Consider the following 9,207-nt stretch of genomic DNA (forward strand, 5'->3'; position numbering starts at 1 on the left):
TTCACTGTTGGTATTTGTCTTATAGAAAGGATTTCATTCGATGGCTTATTTTTATGTCAATATTTATTTTATACAACATAGTGGCTATAATTAATAGCTTACAGTTAATATGTTATAGTCTTAAAAATTGCTAAGAGAATGTATTTTAAATGTTCTTACCACAAAACAATAAGTATGTGAGGTAATACATATGTTAATTAGCTCGATTTTGGCCATTCCACAATTTATCCATTATTCCAAACATCATGTTGTACAAAATAAATACATACAACTTTTGGTTGTCTATTTAAAAAGTATATTTATTTTAGCATCTTTTAATTCTTACATAAAGGGTATAACAGCAACTAACTACAACATAATGATCTCCTGTATGTTTAAATTCCCACTGAAAACCATTAAAACAGGTATTTGTGCAATGCCAACATTATGATGGAGATTGTTTCACCTGTCCCTATTTAACTCAAAGGCAATTTTGTGTCTCCTTGAGAATAAATTTTGAAAGCTCTGTGCTGTCAATCCAATCATTATGGCCTCTGCTTCTGATGTTTCCTTTGGCAGGTACCTTTAAGTTACAAGTGAAATATTCACCCAATCAGTTTCAGCCACAGTAGCAACAAACTCATTCTAGCATTCTCCTTAACTGTGGTTATTCATTTACTAGATCAACTTTGAAATGACAGATAATATCATTTAGAATAATTCCTACAGCCATGAAAATTCTTAATTTGGGAAACTATAAGAACTTTTAATTTGGTATCTAATAGTAGCTCTGAGGTATTATTTTAAGATAATTTTATTTTTTATGAAAAATGCTGTCTATGATATTTAAATTGCCGATATTTTACTATGACACTTTAAATGAGAACATGTAAAATTCTAGGAATGGCATTGCATCCATTGTAGCAGTTTGTTTGAATTATCCAAATTTCTGGTCTGTGTGGACAGCAAGGAACTATACATTCCAGAATTCACTTGACTTTTAACAGGAATTCTTCTTTCTGTTTATGCCAGTTTGAGGATAGCTATGTGCAACTGGATACTTACTTTTCTTTTCTTTTACCTATGTCTCCCAGACACTAGGTACGACTATGCCCTATATTAATTAGATAAGATTTCTCAATACCTAAATTCTAATTATTCTTAACATCTGCATGAGTTAGAAAACAAAAATTCTTCTTGCAGTTTTGCTCATTAAACAAATGGAAGCTACTCAGAAATTGCCAAGTGGAAATAAATTAAGAAGAAAACTACTTTCCACTCACCTTGTGCTGATCTTATGAAATAGTCTCATTCACTCTTTAAATATGTCTCTAAAGTTTGACCTTGGCCAGAAAGTTATGAGGACAGAATTACAGTCTCTTCTCTTTGAAATGGGTGGTTCTGCTGGGCAATTTTCCTTTTGGCATTCACAGTCTCAAATTAGTTGTGCACTTAATTAATAGCTACTTTAGTTCCTTTTTTGAAAGTGTAATAAAAATTATATGCCAACATTTAAATGTCTATCCATATAATCACCCAGAAATGGTTTGATATTGCTGTTGTGGGAATATCTGGGTCTAGATATTTGGGGATATCTGAAAGTTTAATTTTTTTTCTTCTTTCGAATGCTTTATTTTCTTTGCCTTTAGCATTATAGAAGCCTAACTATAAACTACTTAATAACAAATAATGTTTGTAGGAAGCACTCATACCACTGAGCAATTCACAGGCAACACTTACAGCACTGAATATTCACTTAAATTTATTAATTTTATTTTCTAGAAACCAGGTGTCCTTTTCATAGCTGTGGACTCATGAGCTTTAAAAAATAAGAACTAATGCTTCCTGAGCACTAATTCAAATCCAAGTGTTTCTCTAGCGCTTCTTTGTATATTGGGTTATTTAATCCTCATTACATTTCTACAAAAAAAGATACTGGTTTTGAAGGAGAGAGAATCATACCCATTTCTACATGGACATTCTGTCCCAGAGAAGATCACAAAGCTTTTATATGGCAGAATCAGGATTTGAAGTCAGCCTGTTTGTTTTGCCTGTTTTTTAACCGCTATATTGTTTTTGCTCTCTATATAAATTTAGGAAATTATTTGTAAAGACTCAGTGGCCTTAAGATAAGTCATGGCAGAACCTATATATTCAAAATTGCTTGGTGTGAGTCATTTGGAGTTTTCAAGTGTTCAGGCCTATGAACTCACCACCTCAGACCATGTAGAAATATCTGATTCTAACATTTTTTAGCAATTGACACATCCCTTGATCACTTTTTATATACAACTTATGATTACCACTTGGAGATACAAATATATATACATATATATACAAATGTTTGGGGGTAATATTGTCACTATTATTACATTTTAAAACATAATTTTTCTTCTAATTTTACCTTATTCTTAGGAGTGTCTAGAAAGACATAATGAGACAAATTACATTTTGGGATTTATTTTTTTTCTAAAGTAATGTTCTACTTTTGGTGACCTCAAGTAGATATCTCAGAAAGTGAGAGAGAGGGACATATTTAAAAGGCAGAAGCATTCATGTATTTTGATACACTGCCTAAGAAAAGTGAAAGTATAATGTTAAAACAGTAATTGTTTCTCTTATACATACAACTAGTCATAGTCTTTAAGTAAATTTTTACTTCGTGGATGTATCAAATATATATTCTTAGATATAATTGACACTATAATTTCAGAAGAGCTGTTTATCAGGTTCAACAAAATTCACATTCTTGAATTTTTATAATGATTTAAAAAATTATTCAGTTTTGAGAAAAGTTTTAAAATAACAAGTCTCTATAGACCATGGAAATACTTCTCAAAGAAAATAAAATAGAAATATTAAGATAAAATATTTCAGGATAGCTATTTGTTGTGACTTGGTAAGACAGAGCCTTTCTTGTGGAATTAAAAATTTAACACATCAACCAAATATGTTTGCTAACTTATAGTGTGTGGGAAATAACTCACATATTTTATTTAAATCACTATTATGCTGTATGATTTTTTTCTGCTCTGACTATTCAAGGCTTACTCTCATTAAAGTATAAATTCAAAAAATTTTATTTGAAAAACATTACTACTAGATCTCATAATATGTTTTCCTTATGATCTCCTCAGAAGTGAAGCATTTTTTCCAGATATTGTTTAGCTTTAGCGTTTGGCCAGTGAATCAATAAATATAAACGTTATAATCTATATGGATAGATTTGGTGCTAGGTATGGAAGTAAAAGAGCAAGAATTTTTGAGTCATTATGTTGGCTGTGCCTTGTGACAACGTTCCCTGAGGCTAAGACCATATGTTTTTCATCTTGAGTCTAGCACAATTTCTGACACATAGTAGGCAGTTAAAAAATATTTGCTGAATGAAAAATGACTGAATGGCTGAATGTACTTAACTGTTCCAGTTTAGCATTTAGAAGTTATTTTTAAAACTGTTAGAGTGACGAATATACTCATCGAATATGGCAGCAAATATTTTCCTTTCACAAATATCCAAGGATTTTTTGGTAGGTATGTCAGTTTCCCATTGTGCCAAAAGCTCTAGTAATTTTTATTTTATGTTATTTTTTTTAATGTAAGTACACCTTAGAAGTCTTTGGTTAAATTGCAAAAGACTTAAGTTTGCATTTTCAGTTTTTCTCTTTGTAAAAATGTTAATTTTCGTGTTGAATTTTCCTTTTGATAAAGTATCATTAATAGTTTTTATATTGTATGCCTATGATTATAAGCAGTTTTTCTTCTTCTTCCTTTTTTTTTTTTTTTTTTTTTTTTTTTTGAGACGGAGTTTTGCTCTTGTTGCCCAGGCTGGAGTGCAATGTTGCAATCTTGGCTCACCACAACCTCCACTTCCCAGGTTCAAGTGATTCTCCTGCCTCAGCCTTTCTGAGTAGCTGGGATTATAGGCATGCGCCACCATGCCCAGCTAATTTTGTATTTTTAGTAGAGACAGGGTTTCTCCATGTTGGTCAGGCTGGTCTCCAACTCCCGACCTCAGGTGATCCTCCCACCTCGGCCTCCCAAAGTGCTGGGATTACAGGTGTGAGCCACCGCGCCCGGCCAGCAGTTTTTCTTAAAACAATTATTCCTATTACATTAAGTACCACTTAGCAATTTTGAAAATTGTGCATAAACCTCACAACAATCCTAAGATATAGGTATTATGGTTATCATTCCTATTTAATTAGGTCTGGAGATGTTAAAAGAGTTTGTCCCAGTTCATTCAACTAATAGCGGGGCCAAACATGACAGATCCTAACTTGTTGCCTTTATTACGGTCTTTGGCAAAGCTACTTTTTGTTGGCATTGTAGTGTGTGTACCACATTCGTTTCTCACTGTGTGTCTGTGTGTGTGTATATTTTTCTAATATATATCAGACTATTTAGAGTCCTTACCTCAGCATGTTAAGTTCTTCAACTAAGTCTAGAATCAAAAGTGCATGGCTAAGGTGGGCATAGTGATGCACGTCTGCAGTTCCGACTACTTGGGAGGCTGAAGCGGGAGGATTGCTTGAGCCCAGGAGTTCCAGACCAGGCTGGGCAACATGGCAAAACCGTGTGTCTACAAAAAAATACAAAAATTAGGCAGGAGTAGTGGCACACGCCTGTAGTCCCAGCTTCTCAGGAGGCTGAGGAAGGAGAATGACCTGAGCCTGGGAGGTAGAGGTTGCAGTGAGCCAACTGCACTCCAGCCTGGGTGACAGAGTGAGACCCTCTCTCAAAAAAGTAAAAATTGTGTTTAAAAAGGTACATGGCTGGAAATGTCAATTTTTCAAAGTATTTTATATCAAAAATATAATTTATTTTAATGTTTTAAATATGAAATTATTTAAAAACTTTTCCACATTATTAATGGTGAAATATAAAAACCTAAAAAAAAGACAGAACTTGTTCATTTTTAAGCACCAGATCTGTTTCCCTTACAGTAATTACTTTGATTTGTCTTATTTTGTCCTCCTGTTTCCCAAAATGCTTACATAGGTGTGCCTGGTTACAAGTCAAGTTGTTTATGTTATTCTAGTTTTTCAGACAAAGAGAAGTTTCTTTTATTTTTCATACTTTTATTAATATGTCAATGTACCACTAAAAATTCTAAAGAAAGACTGAACTAGAAAACAAATCTGAACCCATTATTGTCTGCAAATGAGAAAAAAACACATGTATTTAAATTACCCGAAAAAGTGCTCATTTTGCTTCTTCAATTGGTATGATTCAGATATAGTGACGGAAGAAACTCTCTAAGAGCCATAATTGTATTTCTATTATACCATTTGGATGCTCTTAGCTGGTTGTATCTCAGGAGCCGCATCATGGCCATAGAACAGACTGTTTCCTGTGGAAAGCAGCATCACTGCAACATAGTTCTCCATAAAAAAAAAGAGACAAAGCACTGCCATGTTCACATTTTTGACATTTTCATTATTATCATAAGTTGCTTCCATTTTCAAAGTTGAACATTCATCAGCGTAATCATTATATCCAAAGCAAAAGAAATAACTATAGAACTCAAAATTTATTGTAGACATGTAACAACTGATTTAGGGGAGTCAGTATTAAACCCAATTCTATTATCATACTTTTAGTTCCCATATTTTTGGTTTATACTGTATAGATGGGCAAATAAATTGACTAATTTTATCAACATGTAGCTTATTGATTTATAAGTCAATAAATCCAAAAATTTAGATGAAAAGATATTCCTGAATGTGTATAGAAATTACAATTTCTGACTAGGCGCAGTGGCTTACGCCTGTAATCCCAGCACTTTCGAAGGCTGAGGCGGGCGGATCACGAGGTCAGGAGATGGAGACCATCCTGGCTAACACGGTGAAACCCCGTCTCTACTAAAAATACAAAAAATTAGCCGGGCGTGGTGGCTGGCGCCTGCAGTCCCAGCGACTCGGGAGGCTGAGGCAGGAGAATGGGTGCGAACCCCAGAGGAGGAGCTTGCAGTGAGCCGAGATCGCGCCACTGCCCTCCAGCCTGGGGACAGAGCGAGACTCCGTCTCAGAAAAAAAAAAGAAAAGAAAGAAATTACAATTTCTATAGTAATCCATTCACATATTCGTTGAGTAAATTAGAGAACAAATGAATAAACTGAGTCCATCCCAGCTGTTTTGGGGGGAAACCAAACCAATGAGGAAGTAAGGCCTTAGTGAAGGATCATGGATGCCTATTTCAATATTACAGGTACTGAGAGAGAGAGAATATTCTTCCTTTATTTTAACTGTTGATATTTGTTGGTAGTATAATTTGAAGATGACTGATTTAAGAGTCAGAGACCTGGATGCCTATTGATTCAGCCATGTAATGCTGTGTAACCTGTTGCCATGTATTTAACCATTTTGGGTTCAAATTTCTTCATGGAAACTGTCCAACTTTCCTTGACTTACAACTTTATGGTGATTACCAAAAGCTGTAAGACACTGTTTTTTAAAAGCCACATTATAAACTAAAGAGCCTTATAAACAGATTTTTCTTATAAATATAAAGTTGAAGATTTTCTGGAGTTTGCCTCATTTGGATAAAATCTTATCCCCCAGTAGCTTGCTCCTTTTTGAATCTCTGGAATTTTCCATGTCTACACTCAAGAATAGTGAGTGGGAAATTTCCTTGAAGGGTTTAGAGATAACAGAGATAAAGAAGGAAAGTGTGCACCTGTCATAAGATCAGATGACTAAACTAAAACCATCATTCCAGATTGCCTATGGTCTCATGTACCCAAACCGGCATCAATAATATTCTGTGTATGTGTGTGTGTTTGTGCTCATGTGTGCTTCTATGCATATTTGTCTGAATTTTTGCCTTTATAATAAATGCTTATTATCCATTCACCAAAATATGCAAATCTTTAACTCCCGAATAATCTACTACACGTAGAAACTATTCTGAGCCAATAGTGTATGTCTTAAAGAAAACTCCTCAAACAAAGAAAATAGATTTATGTTTACCCACAGGACTGAAGAGCAGGAAGACATTATACCGGAGAAATAACCACCTTGTCCAAAGAACCAGTCTTAAAACGATACACGTTTTATGTTCTCATGTAGAAATGATGGATGGTCCTCATTGTAAATGGGATCAGATGGCAATAAAAGGAAGCATATCTGATGGCTACAATATCAGGACCAATTAGATAAAATGAGACAGCAGTGCATAATGGACAGCACATATCTGTTGTTACAATACAAAGTGCTCCAAGGAGTTCAAGGACTACACAAGAAAGAGTAGGGGAATTTCACACTCATTGACTTTGCCTCTAATTGATATTTCAGCTGCAGAGATAGATAAACCTGCTTTCATGCTTAAGTAACAACACTCTCCAAAATATCTAAGTATCATGAGCAATTATGATATACAAAGAAAGCAAATGTTATAATATCCGACTTTGTTTTCCAATGGTTAATTAAAAGAATACATGCTATTTCTTTTGCTGCGAAAGTACATTCAGTCTTGAAATATAAAATCAAATTTAGCAATACAAGTGGCAAGGAACTAATTTATGAACACCACATATAGGCACTCTTTTTATCTATTAAGAAATTGAGGACGTCAATGTTTAAGTACTACTGGGCTCCAGCAGCTGTGATTGTCTGTTAGTGTAATCAGCTATCTAATTATATTGGAATGGTGCAAAATTTTTTGTGTATTTCACAGCTCAGTGATCAAGATACTCAAAATTAGACAGCACATTAGGGCTCTGATAATGAAAGTAATGTACTGTAATATTTTTGAAGGTAAGGGATTTTTTGGAAACTGATGTTAACTGATTTTAGTGTTAATCCATTTTTAGTTTCAAATATACCTATCTACTTTGCTATTGGAGAATTACAACTAAAAATAAATTAATGATCCTTTTTCAGTCAGCACATTTATTCCAACAGACTTTTCACTCTTAGTGTCTGCTTTTATAATTAGCCACAACACAATTAATAATACAATAACAAATTTTATTGTATATATGGGGGAGGGAGAGAGAGAGACTTTACTGCAATCTATATGAGATAAATACTACTATCACCTCGATTTCACAAATGAGAAACTGACACCAATAATTTAATTAACTTTTCAAAGACCAAAAGCAAGTAAATTGTGAAGACATGATTCAAATGTAGGAAGGTTTTGCTACACACTAAACTTCTACAGGAACCTGGATTTCACTGTTCATTAAAGCTCCAAATTTATATAAAGAAGAAAAATGTTGAATTGTACCCCTAAGTCTGCTTTCAAGTAAGTAATTTATCATCAAATTGTTATTTATTGTGCCTAATTTCAAAGAAGTTTTGAAATTTGATAGACTTCAAAGTCTGTTGTACTTGAGTTTGAATTCTGACCTATCCTTGTCACTTACTGGATGTGTGATTTGGGGTTAGTCACAGTTTCTTAGCCTCATTTCCTTATGTGTAAACAATAAGAAAAAATAACACTGTCCTTTCACCATTGTACGCATAATTAAGCAAAGATTAGTCTTATTATTTGCGATGTTCTTGGCAAAGAGACTGGAAAAATAGAAAAGGCCTAGTATATGGAACTATTAACATTAATATCATTGTTGCCATCATTATCACCCTCCTTTAACATGTATTCATTTAAAATAATTTGATAACTTTCCATAAGCATTTCATAAATATATAATGAATTGCTACTTTTATTGCTTTAGAGACTATAAGCCCTATCTGTTACATTGAGAAATATACTTTTAACCTGGCTTCTAAACAGTAGAATTTCATGATCCATTTGTAGAGAGGGACTAGAAACAAAGAATAAGTTATTTCTTCAGATATTTTATTTACATTAAAACTGTATATACACACAACCATCTATTCTTCAAGTGAGCTCAAAGCTGTGTAACATGTTGTTATCTATTTGAATTCAATTCAACCCCTGATCAACTTTTGTGGTTGAGCTCATTAGTTGATCTGATCCTTTGGCTCCACCATCTTCTACAATAAGAAATCTAACAGCTTCTGCAATTAACCGTGCCTAAATATATTTAAGACAAACTGACATCTAGCAAAGAAACACTTTGTCTTTCATCCATCTTTGAGGAGTGAAGACTTGTGTGCAGGTATGCCCAACTCTACTTAACACCTTTAAAGAATATAATGCTTTATATGTAAAAAATATAATGCACCATGTTGCAGAGATCCTATTTAAAACAGAATTAATATTGAGATTACATTGTAAATATAGTAACAAAAGGCTAATTTC

Source organism: Homo sapiens, chromosome 3, assembly GCF_000001405.40.
Source record: "Homo sapiens chromosome 3, GRCh38.p14 Primary Assembly".
NCBI lineage: Eukaryota > Metazoa > Chordata > Mammalia > Primates > Hominidae > Homo > Homo sapiens.